The following is a 16,153-nucleotide window of genomic DNA, read 5'->3' as shown; positions in this document are numbered from 1 at the left end:
CCTCTTATCTGTCCACCCAGGTCCCTGAGGACTTTGGCCCTGTGCGCACCGTGGCAGAGGGCCACGGAGACACACTGTACGTGGGGACCACCCGCAATTCCATCCTGCAGGGCTCCGTGCACACAGGCTTCTCACTGCTGGTCCAGGTGCGCCTCTCTCCTCTGCACCCCTCCCCTCTTCCCAGCTCTTTCCCTGGCCTTCCCTGCATCATCCACTCCCCCTCCCCACTCCCAGTTCTCCTCACCTCCCTGCTCTGTCCCTTCTCTGACCTGGCCCTGACCCAGGACCCCTTCCCAGGATCCAGCAACCAAGAGTTTAACTCCAAGCACAGCAGAGGGGCCCCAGGCCCCTGCTCCAACTGTGCTGCCTCCTGCCACTCTGATTGGGGGTGGCACCCTTCAGGTTGGTGAGTGTCCCTACAGGTTGTCCCACAGCTGCAGACACCCTGGCCACACACCTCTCAGACTCCAGCTCCACGGATTGGGGAAGGTCCTGCTGGAGTCTGCTTGCATTTCTTCTCGAAGCTCAAACGCCTGCTCCTCCCTTCCTGGCCTCCTCCCTCCCTTCCTTACCCCTGACCCAATTAAAGAACTCACCTACCGGGAAGCACTATATTTATACTTTTTTTTTTTTTTTTTCATTTTTGAGACAGAGTCTCGCTCTGTTGCCCAGGCTGCAGCGCAGTGGCTCAATCTCGGCTCATTGCAAACTCTGCCTCCCGCTTCAAGTGATTCTCCTGCCTCAGCCTCCCGAGTAGCTGGAATTATAGGCATGTACCACTACACCCAGCTAATTTTTGTATTTTTAGTAGAAATGGGTTTTCACCATTTTGGTCAGGCTGGTCTCAAACTCCTGACCTCAAGTGATCCACCCACCTCAGCCTCCCAAAATGCGGGGATTACAGGCATGAACCACTGCACCCAGCCCATACTATTATATTGGCTATTATAATTATTAATCATAATATTAATATTACTTTGGGAGGCCGAGGCAGGCAGATCACTTGACATCAGGAGTCAAGACCAGCCTGGGCAACATGGTGAAACACCATCTGTACTAAAAATACAAAACATTAGCTGGGCATGGTGGCGTGTGCCTGTAATCCCAGTTACTCAAAAGGCTGAGGCAGGAGAATTGCTTGAACCTGGGAGGCAGAGGTTGCAGTGAGCTGAGATCCTACCACTGCACTCCAGCCTGGATGACAGAGTGAGATTCCGTCTAAAAAAAAAATTTGTTATAAATATTAATAGTTAGACATTTCCATTTTGTGACCACATTCTCTGAATTATCCTCATGTTTAGCATTTTATTTATTTATTATATCACCCAGCCTGGAATGCAGTGATGCCATTTCAGCTCACTGCAACCTCCGTCTCCTGGGCTCAAGGGATCCTCCTGCCTCAGCCTCCCAAGTAGCTGGGGCTACAAGTGTGCACCACCACAACTGGCAAATTTTTGTATTTTTTGTAGAGATGGGGTTTTGCCATGTTGCCCAGGCTGGTCTCGGACTCCTGAGCTCAATCTTCCTGCCTCAGCCTCCCAAAGTGTCGGGATTACCGGCGTGAGCCACCGCACCTGGCCAGCATTTTCCATCCATGATTTGAGTGAGCACAGGAATGCTATGAGGCATACATACCAATTGGCCCCATTTTACAGGCGATCAAACTGAGGTCCCAAGGAGATGTCACCTGCCTAGATGACTGCGCTCGGTCAGTAATAGAAAGCCGAAGGTCAGAGCCATCAGGTTTAGTGCCCTCCATGAGGTCCCTCAGACTTCTGGGCTCTGTCTGGATGCAGGCAGACTCCAGAAGCGCCTTCCCAGATCCTTGGAGCTGGAGACCTGGGAGGTGTGTGGCCAGGGTGCAGCCTGTCTGACCCCTGAGATCAAGCTCTGAGCCACCATGCCCTCCTGCCTCCCATTGTGCAAAGAAGAAAGCAGAGGTCCCTGGAGAAGGGGCAGGATTTGCCTTGAGTCACACACCAGGGCATGGGTTCAGATGCCCAATTGAGGCCCCCTTCAGACATACTGGGAAAGGTCTTCCCTGGGTCCCGCTGGGGCAGGGTGAGTTGCTGGGGCTCATCTAGCATTTGTCTGGCATTAGTGTTGAGTGGGAAAAGGCCAGGGCTGCTGTCTCCATCCTGCTGTCCTCCCTTTCCACCAGGGCCATGTGGAAGAGCTGTGGGGCCTGGCCACACACCCCAGTCGGGCCCAGTTTGTGACCTGCGGGCAGGATAAGCTGGTGCATCTATGGAGCTCAGATTCCCACCAGCCCCTGTGGAGCAGGATCATCGAGGTAAGGGGCCCGGGGACTGGAAAAGCACCATTCTAACAGAACTACCTTTCCCCCTGTGTCAGGGCTCAGCACATTAGACTGAAACCAAACAAGGTCTTTTTTTTTTTTTCTTCGAGGTGGAGTCTCGCTCTGTCACCCAGGCTGGAGGGCAATGGCACGATCTCGGCTCACTGCAACCTCCGCCTCCCGGGTTCAAGTGATTCTTCTGCCTCAGCCTCCCGAGTAGCTGGGATTACAGGTGCACACCACCATGTCCAGCTAATTTATGTATCTTTAATAGAGACAGGGTTTCACCATGTTGGTCAGGCTGGTCTCGAACTCCTGACCTCGTGATCCGCCCGCCTCGGCCTCTCAAAGTGCTGGGATTACAGATGCCAGCCACCAAGCCTGGCCCAAACAAGGTCTTTTTAAGCAGGGTGGGGGTTTCATCTAGGGAACTGGGTGCTTAGAAGCTCTCTCAGAAGGGTTGGAGGAGTAGGTTCTTGACTGGAAGGGAGCCCAGGACGACACCGAACCATCCTGTCAGGGGTGCCGCCATGAGGAGGGGGGAGTCAGGAGCCGCTGAGTTCAAGGAAGGTGTGACCGCTGCAACAGTCAAGTGTAGAGCTACACTGTCCCATAGGGTAACCACTGGCCACACATGGCTATTCACAATTAATTAAAATGTAAACAGAATAAAAATTTCAGCTGGGTGTGGTGGCTGACACCTGTAATCCCAGCACTTGGGAGGCTGAGGCAGGTAGATTGTGTGAATCCAGGAGTTTGAGACCAGCCTGGGCAACATGGCAAAACCCCATCTTTACAAAAAATGAAAAAAAAAAAACAAAAATTAGCCGGGCGTGGTGGTGGGCGCCTGTAATGTCAGCTACTTGGGAGGCTGAGCCAGGAGAATCGCTTGAACCCAGGAGGCGGAGGTTGTAGTGAGCTGAGACCGTGCCACTGCACTCCAGCCTGGGCAACAGAGTGAAACTCCATCTCAAAAAAATAAATAAAAATTTAAAAAATAAAAAACAAAAATAAAGTCTTAAAATTCTAGATGCCCTTTGTCCCAGCATTCCCACATCTAGGAAATTATCTAAAGAAGTCGTCTTGGATGAATAAAGCTGTGGGAATTTAGAAGAGGAGTAAGGAGGGATCCCGGGACAGGAGTGACAGGAGGAATGGTTTCTGTTCAGGTTAACATGCTACAGAAATGTAAAGAGGAATGGCTGCCATGGTGTCTGGGGTGGGGGTGTCCCAAAGGGCAGCAGAGGGAGGGGAGAGCCCTCATGCAAAGATTAGACTTGGCCCTGAGGCAAGAGAATGTCCAGATGGACATGGGACCCCAGCTCTGAGCCCTGCCTCTTCTCTCTCCCTTCTCAGGACCCTGCCCGCTCAGCCGGCTTCCACCCCAGTGGCTCTGTCCTGGCTGTGGGTACAGTGACTGGCAGGTAAAGCTGAGGAGAGCATTTCGGGAGGCCTTCTCTGCTCCCTGGGGAACTGGCCCTTCTTCCCTCTTTCCTACTTTCCCAAATCCCACTATTTACCGAGCCCTGATCCCTCAATATTCCTCTGGCTCACTGCAGCCTCTGCCTCCCAGGTTCAAGCGATTTGCCTGCCTCAGCCTCCCGAGTAGCTGGGATTACAGGCGCCCACCACTATGCCTGGCTAATTTTTTTTTATTTTTAGTAGAGACGGGGTTTCACCATGTTGGCCAGGCTGGTCTCGAACTCCTGACCTCAAGTGATTCACCTGCCTCAGCCTCTCAAAGTGCTAGGATTACAGGCGTGAGCCACCGCCACTGTACCTGGCCTTGTTTTGTTTTGTTTTTTGGGGGGACAGAGTCTTGCTCTGTCGCCCAGACTGGAGTCCGGTGGCGCGATCTCAGCTCACTGCAACCTCTGCCTCCCGGGTTCAAGCAATTCTCGTGCCTCAGCCTCCTAAGTAGCTGGGATTACAGGCACGTGCCACCACGCCTGGCTAATTTTTGTATTTTTAGTAGAGACGGGGTTTTGCTATGTTGACCAGGCTGATTTCGAACTCTTGACCTCAAGTGATCCACCCGCCTCGGCCTCCCAGCGTGCTGGGATTATAGGCCTGAGCCACCGTGCCCAGCCCAGGTCACTTCTGGGGTCCCTCTGATCCCTCCCTTAGACCCCACAGATTGCGGCCTCTCTCTGTCAGATCAGCTCACCCCTCCTCCCCCCACCACGCCCTCTCCTTCAAGATGGCTGCTGCTGGACACGGAGACCCATGACCTGGTGGCTATCCACACAGACGGCAATGAACAGATCTCAGTGGTCAGCTTCTCCCCAGGTAAGCGGCAGGCCTGGGACACCCAAGCGGCAGGGCCAGGGGACAGAGGCTCAGAGCTCTTGGCAGGGGGAGGGGTGGAGCCTGCGAAGCGAGGCCTAGGAGGGATGCAGTGGGGATGGAGCTGGGGACTGTTGAGGGGGCTGAGTCTGGGCGAGGAGGGGATGGAGCCTGGGTGCCTCCTCATAGCCCCCCTCCCCCTCCCCCAGACGGGGCGTACCTGGCCGTGGGCTCCCACGACAACTTGGTGTACGTGTACACGGTGGACCAGGGCGGCCGCAAGGTCAGCCGCCTGGGCAAGTGCTCGGTGAGTGGGCAGTGGCCCCCAGCCCGCGCCGCCACCCCGCCCAGGGGGTGCAAAATTAACCAATTTTCTACCTCAAGGGAGCGCAGCTTCAACACTCAACTGATTCTGCCCTGATCAGAGCAAGGAGTCTTGGCCACGTCCACACATTCACCACCTCGTGTGTTCTAAGCCCGCCCCTTTGTGTAGCCCCGCCCCCACGTGCTAAGCCCATCTGTGTAGCCCCGCCCCTCACGTTCCGAGACCGCCCCTCACGTTCCGAGACCGCCCCTCTGTGTAGCCCCGCCCCTCAACATTCAAAGCCAGCTCCTCCGTGTCTAGCCCTGCCCACCTGTTCTAAACTCCCATTGTGTTCTAAGTGCTTTTTGTCTAGCCCTGCCCATCACAGTCTGGCCCCGCCCACAGTATTCTGGCCCTGCCCCCATACTCCAAAGGCCTGTGTATCCTTCCTTTAGTCCCCTTGTGTTCTCGCCCTACCTCTGTATTTGACTTCCACTTTCCTGATTTAATCCTGTCCCCCTCTCCTTGGTTCCGCCCTCTGCAGCTCTAACACCATCCCTTCCCTCCCCCGCAGGGCCATTCCAGTTTTATCACCCACCTGGATTGGGCCCAGGACAGCAGCTGCTTTGTCACCAACTCCGGGGACTATGAGATTCTGTACTGTGAGTTCTCCGGGACCCAGAGACATTACTTCCTCCGTCTCATTTGCAGACTTCCCTGAGTTCTGGGAGGGGAGGGAGGGGCTTCAAGCCTCGCTCCCTTGGTATTCAAGGCTGGTTCTGATTTGGAATTTAGGGACCGCTGGCTTCTCATTTTCTCCCTGGTATACCCCACTTTTAGTCAACTCCTCCCCTTTCCGGTCGGATGGGTAGGATGCAGGTTTCTTTTTTTACATTTTTAAATTTTTAATTATTATTATTATTATTATTATTATTATTATTATTTTGAGACGGAGTCTTGCTCTGTCCCCCAGGCTGGAGTGCAGTGGCGCGATCTCGGCTCACTGCAAGCTCCGCCTCCCAGGTTCAAGTGATTCTTCTGCCTCAGCCTCCTGAGTAGCTGGGATTACAGGAGCACACCACCATGCCCGGCTAATATTTGTATTTGTATTTTTTTTTTTTTGAGATGGGAGTTTCCCTCTTGTCTCCTAGGCTGGAGTGCAATGGCACGATGTCGGCTCACTGCAGCCTCCGCCTCCCAGGTTCAAGCGATTCTCTTGCCTCAGGCTCCTGAGTAGCTGGGATTCCAGGTGTCCACCACCACGCCCAGCTAATTTTTAAAATATTGTTAGTAGAGACAGGGTTTCGCCATGTTGACCAGGTTGGTCTTAAACTCCTGACCTCAGGTGATCCGCCTGCCTTGGCTTCCCAAAATGCTGGGATTACAGGCATGAGCCACCACACCTGGTCTAATTTTTGTATTTTTAGTAGAGATGGGGTTTCACCATCTTGGCCAGGCTGGTCTCGAACTCCTGACCTCAGGTGATCCAGCCAGATGCTGTGGCTCATGCTGCCTCCTGGGATTACAGACGTGAGCCACCATGCCCGGCCAGATGCGGGTTTAAAAGTAGATGCTCCTGCTTACGCTGCGGGCTGTGAAGACCCCAGCATGTGATGCCTTCTCAGCCAGTCCTGACAGGTAGAATGAGCCCTGGGACCTTAGCCTCCTCTGTCTTGGACCTCAGCTCCGATTGTCTAAGAAAGGGATGGGTTTACTGGGTAGTTCTTCCAACTCTGAATGTCTCCTCCCATTTTCTGCCCCAGGGGACCCGGCTACCTGTAAGCAGATCACCAGTGCGGATGCTGTGAGGAACATGGAATGGGCCACAGCTACTTGTGTCCTAGGGTTTGGGGTGTTTGGTGAGTTCTGGAATGAGAGAGGTCTCACTGAGGACAGTAGTTCTGAGAGACATCCCCGCTGGTGGTTTCCAGAGTCTTACTGCTTACCTCCAGTGTGGGAAGCTCACTGCTTTACTGCATGTGGGCTGTATTTGTGTAAGAGGAAAGGGTAGGGTGAGATGACTCATTAGAGCTGTAATAAAATGAAACCAAATGGGCGTGGTAACTGGCCAGGAGAGATCCACACTGCCGGTGCCCTAGCCACCCATTCATTCAGGCACGAATGAAGCAAACACATATTCCCTGAGCAGTTCTGTGCCTGCCGTGGGCTTGGCAGTGACCATGACTGACGGCCCTGCTCTCCTGTGGCTCTCAGTCCAGTGGGGGAGGCAGACTTGTCCCCAGACAGTGATGACCCAGAGTGAGCAGGTCTGAGACAGGGAAACCCAGGGTGGGGCATCTGGCCTACTCTTGGAGGGAATCAGGGAGGGCTTCCTGGAGGAAGAGACATCTGAGCTAGGACCTGGAGGATGAGGAGTTACTTTCCAGGGCAGTGAAGAAGGAAAGCAGTCTCTTGGCAAAGGGAATAGTACATACAAAAGCCCACGCGTGACACAGAACTTGGCATTTGGAGAAATGCAGGGAGGCAGGGTGGCCAAATCATTACAGAGTTTAACAGGAGCACTGATGAGGGATGAGGCTGGAGCAGTGCATGGGGCCTGCTGAGCCTTAGAACCACAGGCTTTCTTCTAAGATCACCAGGGAGCCATGGAAGGGTTTTAAGCAGAGCAGGGGCAGGCTCGGATTCACATTTTAAGGTAATTCTGACTCATATCCTCGGATAGATACAGGCTAGGTCGGAACAAATTAAGGTGGCTGGAGTGGCAATCTGCTCCTCTTGGCGGTCCCTGGCTCCAGCTGACATCTTACCACTTCCCTTCATCTTGCCCACAGGGATCTGGTCTGAGGGGGCGGACGGCACTGATATCAACGCTGTGGCCCGCTCTCATGATGGGAAGTTGCTGGCTTCAGCTGATGACTTTGGCAAAGTTCACCTGTTTAGCTACCCCTGCTGTCAGCCTCGAGTGAGTCCCTTGGGGAGATGGGGATGGACGGGGGTAGCAAGCAGGGGTGGGGACAAAATTCAGGCAGCTCTGGTCCAACCCCACCCCTTCTCTGAGCCTCGGTTTCCCCATCTGTACAAGGAGGACAGTAGTCTTGATCCCAAGGGCCTTTCTTAACCCCAAGGTGGATGAATTTCAGTGTGTCATGGTGAAGACCTGGTTCTCTGAAGTTCTGAGCAACTGCAATTCTGAGCTCTTTGGTTCTTTTATCCTTGTTAACTCAGTAAATATTTATTGAGCACCTACTATGTACCTAGGCACAGGATATACAACCAGATCTTATGAGTTTTTAAGGGAGGCCAAGGCCAGTTGCAGTGGCTCACACCTGTAATCGCAACACTTTGCAAAGCTGAGGCAGGAGGATTGCTTGAGGCCAGGAGTTCAAGACCAGCCTGGGCAACAAAGTGAGACCCCATCTCTACAAAATACACACAAAATTAGCTGGGCATGGTTGTGCATGCCTGTAGTTCCAGCTACAAGGAAGTCTGAGGTGGGAGGATTGCTTGAGCCCAGGAGGTTGAGGCTGCAGTGAGCCATGATTGCACCACTGTACTCTAGCCTGGGCGACAGAGCAAGACTTTGTCTCAAAACAAAGACAAAAACAAAAAAAAAAGCTGGACGTTAATTTTACCATTCTCTGGTTCTAACAGAAGAGGGATTGTTTCAGCATTTTCCTAGGAAATTTTCATGCATAAAAGCAGAAAGACTAGTACAGTGACTCCTCCTGTACCTGTTACCCATGTTCAACTATTACCAGATTTGGTATATTTATTTCATTTGTTTCTTCTTTCTCCTTTCTCTTCTTTTTTTATTTTTTATTTTTGAGACAGGGTCTCACTCTGTTGCCCACGCTGGAGTGCAGTGGCATGGCACAATCTCGGCTCACTGCAGCCTTGACCTCCTGGACTCAAGCGGTCCGCCCACCTCAGCCTTCTGAGTAGCTGGGACTACAGGCGTGCACCACCACACCTGGCCAATTTTTGTATTTTTCATAGAGATAGGTTCTCTGTTGCCCAGGCTGGTCTTGATCTCCTGGGCTTGAGCAATCCTCTCCACCTTAGTTTCCCAAAGTGCTGGGATTACAAGGCATGAGCCACAGTACCTGTCCTGGTCTGTAGTTTTAAGAAACTGCATATGTGGCCGGGTGCGGTGGCTCAAGCCTGTAATCCCAGCATTTTGGGAGACCAAGGTGATGGATCACCTGAGGTCAGGAGTTTGAGACCAGCCTGACCAACATGGTGAAACCCTGACTCTACTAAAAATACAAAAGTTAGCAAGGCGTAGTGGCAGGCGCCTGTAATCCCAGCTACACAGGAGGCTGAGGCAGGAGAATTGCTTGAACCCAAGAAGTAGAGGTTGCAGTGAGCCAAGATCACGCCACTGCACTCCACTAAGCAACAATGCACTGAGCGATAGAGTGAGACTTTGTCTCAAAAAAAAAAAAGAATACAAAAATACAAAAATTAGCCAAGCCTGGTGGTGCACGCCTGTAATCCCAGCTACTGGGGAAGGTGAGGCGGGAGAATTGCCTGAACCCGGGAGGCAGAGGCTGTAGTGAGCGGAGATCGTGCCACTTTACTCCAGCCTGAGCGACAGCAAGGCTCCGTCATAAAACAAAAACAAAAACAAAAAAACCCACACACACGAAAACGCATAGGTTATCTTTTAGCCCTCTAAATTGAGCATTCATGCCTAAAAAAATAAGGATAATTCTGGCCAGGCCCGGTGGCTCACGCCTGTAATCCCAGCACTTTGGGAGGCCGAGGCAGGCGGATCACCTGAGGTCAACAGTTCGAGACTAGCCTGGCCAACATGGTGAAACCCCGTCTTTACTAAAAATGCAAAAAAATTAGTCATGGGTGGTGGCGGGCACCTGTGATCCCAACTACTCAGGAGGCTGAGGCAGGAGGATCACTTGAACTTGGGAGGCGGAGGTTGCAGTGAGTTGAGATTGCACCACTGCACTCCAGCCTGGGCAAAAGAGCGAGATTCTGTCTCAAAAGAAGAAGAAGAAGAAGAAGAATTGTTACATATCCACAAGCCTCTGACCACTCCTAATTAACATTAATTTCTTCTTCTTTTTTTTTTTTGAGACAGAGTTTCACTCTTGTTGCCCAGGCTGCAGTGCAATGGCGCGATCTTGGCTCACTGCAACCTCCGCCTCCTGGGTTCAAGCGATTCTCCTGACTCAGCCTCCTGAGTAGCTGGGATTACAGGCATGCACCACCATGCCCGGCTAATTTTGTATTTTTCAAATAGAGACAGGGTTTCTCCATATTGGTCAGGCTGGTCTTGAACCCCCAACCTCAGGCGATCTGCCTGCCTCGGCCTCCCAAAGTGCTGGGATTATAGGCGTGAGCCACCACGCCCAGCAACATTAATTTCTTACATGCCTCATCCCTAGGAAGGCAAAAACAAAACGTTAATTCCTAAATATGATCTCATAGCCAGTACATATTCATATTTCCCTGATGTGCCCCAGACTGGCCTTCTATGGTTGGTTTGTTTGAACCAGGGTCCAAACTACATTTGCTTATGTCTCAAATCCCAGCATGTAGAATAGCCTTCCCCACGTGCATGCTATTTCTTCTATTTATGCCATTAACTTGCTGAATAAACCAATTCAGTTGCCCTGCTGGGTTTTTTGTTTGTTTTTGTTTTTTTGACAGAGTCTCCCTCTATCGCCCGGGCTGGAGTGCAGTGGCACGATCTCGGCTCACTGCAACCTCCGCTGCCTGGGTTCAAGTGATTCTCATGCCTCAGCCTCCCAAATAGCTGGGACTACAGGCGTGTGCCACCACGCCCGGCTAATTTTTTTGTATTTTTAGTAGAGACAGGGTTTTACCACGTTGGCCAGGCTGGTATCGAACTCCTGACCTCAAGTGATCTCCCCAACTTGGCCTCCCAAAGTGCTGGGATTATAAGCATGAGCCACCACGCCAGGCCTAATTTTGTATTTTTAGTAGAGACGGGGTTTCACCACGTTGGCCAGGCTAGTCTTGAACTCCTGACCTCAAGTGATCCACCCCCACCTCGGCCTCCCAAAGTGCTGGGATTACAGGCGTGAGCCACCATGCCCAGCTGTTCTGTTGGTTCTTTTTTGTTTGAGACAGAGTCTCACTCTGTCACCAGGCTGGAGTGCAGTGGCACAATCTTGGCTCACTGCAACCTCCGACTCCCTGGTTCAAGTGATTCTCCTGCCTCAGCCTCCGAAGTAGCTCGGATTACGGGCATGCGCCACCACACCCAGCTAATTTTTATATTTTTAGTAGAGAACGGGGTTTCACCATATTGGCCAGGATGGTCTTGATCTCCTGACCTTGTGATCCGCCTGCCTCGGCCTCCCAAAGTGCTGGGATTACAGGCGTGAGCCACCACGCCTGGCCTCTGTTGGTTCTTAAACAAAGGGCTTATTAGCCCTGGTAACACTGGGACACCCCATTGCTATAAAAGGAAAAAGAATTAGCCAGGTGTGGGGGCGCATATCTGTGATCCCAGCTACTTCTTGGGAGACTGAGGTGGGAGGATCCCTTCAGCCCAGGAGGTCAAGGCTGCATTGAAGCTGTGCTCATACCTAAGTGACTTCACTCTAAGTGATTAAAAAAAAAAAAAAAGAGGAAGAGCAGAAAAGAACCGGGTCAAGACAAGAGGACCATGATGGGGTGGCATTGTCCCCACTGACATTTCTTCACTTACTTCTTTCCTTGTAACAGGCCCTCAGCCACAAGTACGGTGGACACAGCAGCCATGTGACAAATGTGGCCTTCTTGTGGGATGACAGCATGGCCCTGACCACAGGGGGCAAGGACACCAGTGTGCTACAGTGGCGGGTGGTCTGATGCGGCCAGGGAAGAGTCAGGTGTCAGGGCAGGAATTCTATTTTCGGGAGATGTCTATTGCCGAGTAGAGTAATATATACCCAGAGTATGTCTATAGCAGAGGGGGTTATGGGGGCGGGAGGGTAGACTGACATACAGAAGTCTCTATTTATCCGGGTGGGAAGAGGGAGTCACATCGCTTTGGGGATCCATTGGTGTTTGGTTTGGGGTGTTTTTTAAGTTTTTTCTTTTATATCATCCAGAAATAAAGACACGTACACTAAGGTGTGTCAGGGTCTATGTATTTGTACGGTATGTGCCTACACAGTTGTGTATGTGTATGGATGTGTGTGTGTATTAGTGTATTAGCCCGTTTTCATGCTGCTGATAAAGACATACCTGAGACTGGGCAATTTACAAAAAAAAAAGAGGTCTATTGGACTTATGGTTCCATGTGGCTGGGGAGGCCTCACAATCATGGTGGACGATGAAAGGCACATCTTACATGGTGGCAGACAAGAGAAGAGAGCTTGTGCAGAGAAACGCCACTTTTGAAAACCATCAGATCTTGTGAGACTCATTCGCTATCAAGAACAGCATGGGAAAGACCTGCCCCGTGATTTAATTACCTCCCACCAGTTCCCTCCCACAACGCCTGGGAATTCAAGATGAGATTTGGGTGGGGACCCAGCCAAACCAGATCAGTGTGTCACAGTGCTTATGATGAGGGACCATTGTTACTTAGGTCTTCATTGGATGCAAGCAACAGAAACCATCTTGCTCTAACTTAGATTAAAATAAAACTTTCTGGCTGGGTGCGGTGGCTCACATCTGTAATCCTAGCACTCTGGGAAGCCGATGCAGGTTGATCACCTGAAGTTAGGAGTTCAAGACCAGCCTGGCCAACATGGTGAAACCCTGTCCCTACTAAAAAATACAAAAAAAATTATCCGGGTGTGGTGGCGGGCACCTGTAATCCCAGCTACTCAGGAGGCTGAGGCAGGAGAATGGCTTGAACCTGGGAGGCAGAGGTTGCAGTGAGCCGAGATCATACCACTGCACTCCAGTCTGGGTGACAGAGTGAGACTCTGTCTCAAAAAAATTAAAATAAAATTTTTTTTTTATTTGAGATGGTGTCTCGCTCTGTCGCCCAGGCTGGGTGCAGTGCCATGATCTTGGTTCACTGCCACCTCTGCCTCCCGGGTTTAAGCGATTCTCCTGCCTCAGCCTCCTGAGTAGCTGGGAATGCAGGTGCATGCCACAACACCTGGCTACTTTTTGCATTTTTTTTTCTTTTTTCTTTTTTAGACGGAGTCTCACTCTGTCGCCCAGGCTGGAGTGCACTGGTGCGATCTCGGCTCACTGAAAGGTCCGCCTCCTGGGTTCATGCCATTCTCCTGCCTCAGCCTCTCGAGTAGCTCAGACTACAGGCACCTGCCACCATGCCCGGCTAATTTTTTTGGTATTTTTAGATGGGGTTTCACTGTGTTAGGTAGAATGGTCTCAGTCTCCTGACCTCGTGATCCGCCCGCCTCAGCCTCCCAAAGTGTTGGGATTACAAGCATGACCCACTGCGCCCAGCCTGTATTTTTTAATAAAGAGTTTCGCCATGTTGGCCAGGTTGGTCTCGAACTCCTGACCTCAGGTGATCTGCCTGCCTCAGCCTCCCAGAGTGCTGGGAATACAGGCATGAGCCACCACACCGGGGCTGATCCTTCACTTTTTTAAAAGCCAGCACCCTCTACAGTCACATTGTCTTAGGTGCCAGCCATTTGAACCCTCCCTTTCTGAACTTGTCCACGGGCGAACTCCTCATCAGCCAGCAGTGACCAGACCTATGCTGGAGATAGGAGACCAGTGAGACCCAAGCCATCACCACCCTTAGGGCAGAAGGGACAGGGAGGGAATTTGTTACCCGTCTCCAGGGACAGGCAGAGTTCCCAGAGGAGCTGTGGTTCAGAGGAGGGGGCCACAGCCACTGTGGGACTAAGGGAAGCAGAAAGGGGCCCAGGAAGTGAGTGTACCCTGACTCTCTCCACCGACCCTGTGGATGGAGTTTGCACTAGGCCTATCCTATCACCCTTAGGTCTAGAAGACAGTTTTCTGCCGCTCTTGGGTCAAAGCCTCCTCTCCTCCTCCCCTCACTCCCCACCTTTTGTCCCTTCCCCATTGCCCAGGTTCTGGGAAAGTGGCCCAGCGCTGCGGAAGCGGCCCTTTCATCGGGCATCCGGGTGCTCTTTCGACCCCTCGTGGCCAGTCTTGGACCTGCATGGAAAAATGTGCCAAGAAAGTTCTGCTGGAAAAGTGCTGGTGATTCTCCACGTGACCCTCCTCCGCGCCCCCAGGGTCACTCTCAGCCTTCCTTCCCCAGCTCGGGGCCCTGGGAGACCGCCGTGTGCAAATTCTATCGGCAGGGTCGGTGGAGAGAGGTCAGGGTATTTGCTTCCTGGGCCCCTCCCTGCATCCCGCACTCACAGTGGCTGTGGTTCCCCTCCTCTGAGCCGCAGTTCCTCTGGGAACTCGAGCTGTCCCTGGAGACGGGTAACAGACTCCCTCCCTGTCCCTTCTGCCCTAGGCTGGCGATGGCTTCGTGCCCACTTCGGATGGTCCCCTGGGGCCGCCCCATCCTTTGTGGCTTTCTCCACTCTGCCCATCCCTCTATAAACTGCCCATAAATGCTCCCAGTTAAACTCGGAGTGGCCACTTGCTTCCCTCCAGGACCCTGATCGAGTCTCAGCATAAATTTAGGATGAGCCAGAGAGAGAAGGGGACTCTAAGCCCACCAATGAGCATTCAGAATTTATCTTTTTATTATTATTAGTTTTTGAGTCAGTCTCACTGTGTTGCCCAGGCTGGAGTGCAGTGGCACAATCCCAGCTCACTGCAACCTCTGCCTGCCAGGCTCAAGCGATTCTCATGTCTTAGCCTCTCGAGTAGCTAGGGCTGCAGGTGTGCGCTACCATGCCCAGCTAATTTTTGTATTTTTAGTAGAGATGGGGTTTTGCCATGTTGGCCAGGCTGGTCTTGAACTCCTGGCCTCAAGCAATCCACCTGCCTCGGCCTCCCAAAGGGCTGGGATTACAGGCGTGAGCCACTGTGCCCGGCCTGAAGGAAAAAAACATTTATTCCTGGCCTGGCGTGGTGGCTCACGCCTGTAATCCCAGCCCTTTGGGAGGCCGAGGAGAGCGGATTACGAGGTCAGGAGATCTAGAACACAGTGAAACCCTGTCTCTACTAAAAAATACAAAAAATTAGCTGGGCGCGGTGGCGGGCGCCTGTAGTCCCAGCTACTCGGGAGGCTGAGGCAGGAGAATGGCGTGAACCTGGGAGGCGGAGCTTGCAGTGAGCCAAGATCGCACCATTGCACTCCAGCCAGGGCGACAGAGCGAGACTCTGTCTCAAAAAAAAAAAAAAAAAAAAAAAAAAACATTTATTCCTATGAGTGTTGTTGGTCTCTTGAGTCTTCGTTAACCTGCTCACTTTGGCTGGGTTTGGTGGCTCTGGTAATCTCAGTGCTTTGGGAGGCTGAGGCGGGAGGATTGCTTGAGCCCCAGAGGTAGAGGCTGCAGTGAGTTATGATGGAGCCACTGTACTCCAGCCTGGACAAAAGAGTGAGACCCCATCTCTTAAAAGAAAAATCCCTGAGAGGAAGGGGGTAATGTGGTTCACAGAGGTAAAGTCACCTGTCCAAAGCCACACAAGATTATAAGAATAGCTATGTTTTTGTTTGTTTTATTAATTAATTAATTTATTTATTTTTGAGACAGAGTTTCGCTCTTGTTGCCCAGACTAGAGTGCAATGGCACGATCTTGGGTCACTGCAACCTCCACCTCCTGGGTTCAAGTGATTCTTCTGCCTCAGCCTCCCGAGTAGCTGTGTTTACAGGCATGTGTCACCACGCCCGGCTAATTTTGTATTTTTAGTAGAGACAGGGTTTCTTCATGTTGGTCAGGCTAGTCTTGAACTCTTGACCTCAGGTGATCCGCCTGCCTTGGCCTCCCAAAGTGTTGGGATTACAGGCATGATCCAGTGCACCTGCACTATTTATTTATTTTTTGAGATGGAGTCTTGCTCTGTCGCCCAGGCTAGAGTGCAATGGCGCAATCTCGGCTCACTGCAACCTCCACCTCCTGGGTTCAAGCAATTATCCTGCCTCAGCCTTCCGAGTAGCTGGGATTACAGACATCCACCATCACACCCAACTAATTTTTGTATTTTTAGTAGAGACGGGATTTCGCCATGTTGGCCAGTCTGGTCTTGAACTCCTCACCTCAAGTGATCTGCCCACCTCAGCCTCCCAAAGTGCTGGGATTACAGGTGTGAGACACCGCACCTGGCCGATATCCTGAGTCTTGATTTGGGTGTTTAATTACATGGTGTATCCAATTTTCAGGATTCCTTATATTCTTCCCTTAAGATCTGAACATTTTAATCAAATTTTTTGAGACTAATTGTTAATTAAATGTAATTTTTAATTACATTT

General features: G+C 51.7%; 1 protein-coding gene across 12 annotated transcripts in view, besides 4 other annotated features; it reads left to right on the top strand.

Moving 5' to 3' along the window:
- The window catches only part of EML2 (EMAP like 2), a 36,230-nt gene extending 24,277 nt beyond the window's left edge, over positions 1-11,953 (top strand). For 7 of the 12 annotated variants that reach the window (NM_001352052.1, NM_001193268.3, NM_001352053.2 and 4 more), the window contains 9 exons: positions 21-146; positions 2,162-2,293; positions 3,656-3,723; positions 4,500-4,588; positions 4,795-4,892; positions 5,464-5,551; positions 6,653-6,748; positions 7,682-7,812; positions 11,565-11,953. In NM_001352052.1, coding sequence (NP_001338981.1) covers positions 21-146; positions 2,162-2,293; positions 3,656-3,723; positions 4,500-4,588; positions 4,795-4,892; positions 5,464-5,551; positions 6,653-6,748; positions 7,682-7,812; positions 11,565-11,690 — 954 coding nt within the window. In that variant the 3' untranslated portion in view covers positions 11,691-11,953. The remainder of the gene's footprint in view (positions 1-20; positions 147-2,161; positions 2,294-3,655; positions 3,724-4,499; positions 4,589-4,794; positions 4,893-5,463; positions 5,552-6,652; positions 6,749-7,681; positions 7,813-11,564) is intronic. The other 5 variants (NR_147901.2, NR_147900.2, NR_147899.2 and 2 more) reach the window with 3 other exon arrangements.
- Positions 3,568-4,405: an enhancer, noted in NCBI's record as "H3K27ac-H3K4me1 hESC enhancer chr19:46120206-46121043 (GRCh37/hg19 assembly coordinates)". NCBI's record gives its function as "activates a minimal SCP1, AML or CMV promoter by ChIP-STARR-seq in primed H9 embryonic stem cells {active_cell/tissue: H9 hESC(primed)}" and the evidence as "EXISTENCE:reporter gene assay evidence [ECO:0000049][PMID:30033119]".
- Positions 4,406-5,244: an enhancer, noted in NCBI's record as "H3K27ac-H3K4me1 hESC enhancer chr19:46119367-46120205 (GRCh37/hg19 assembly coordinates)". NCBI's record gives its function as "activates a minimal SCP1, AML or CMV promoter by ChIP-STARR-seq in primed H9 embryonic stem cells {active_cell/tissue: H9 hESC(primed)}" and the evidence as "EXISTENCE:reporter gene assay evidence [ECO:0000049][PMID:30033119]".
- Positions 4,406-5,307: a biological region, named in NCBI's record as "H3K27ac-H3K4me1 hESC enhancer GRCh37_chr19:46119367-46120205".
- Positions 5,058-5,307: a silencer, noted in NCBI's record as "silent region_10782". NCBI's record gives its function as "represses an Ori minimal core promoter by ATAC-STARR-seq in GM12878 lymphoblastoid cells {active_cell/tissue: GM12878}" and the evidence as "EXISTENCE:reporter gene assay evidence [ECO:0000049][PMID:35858748]".
- Positions 11,954-16,153: the final 4,200 nt, after the last annotated feature.

The sequence above is a fragment of the Homo sapiens genome, chromosome 19 (genome assembly GCF_000001405.40).
Source record: "Homo sapiens chromosome 19, GRCh38.p14 Primary Assembly".
NCBI lineage: Eukaryota > Metazoa > Chordata > Mammalia > Primates > Hominidae > Homo > Homo sapiens.
The sequence above is the reverse complement of the archived record's forward strand: the minus strand, read 5'-3'. Positions and strand labels throughout refer to the sequence as shown.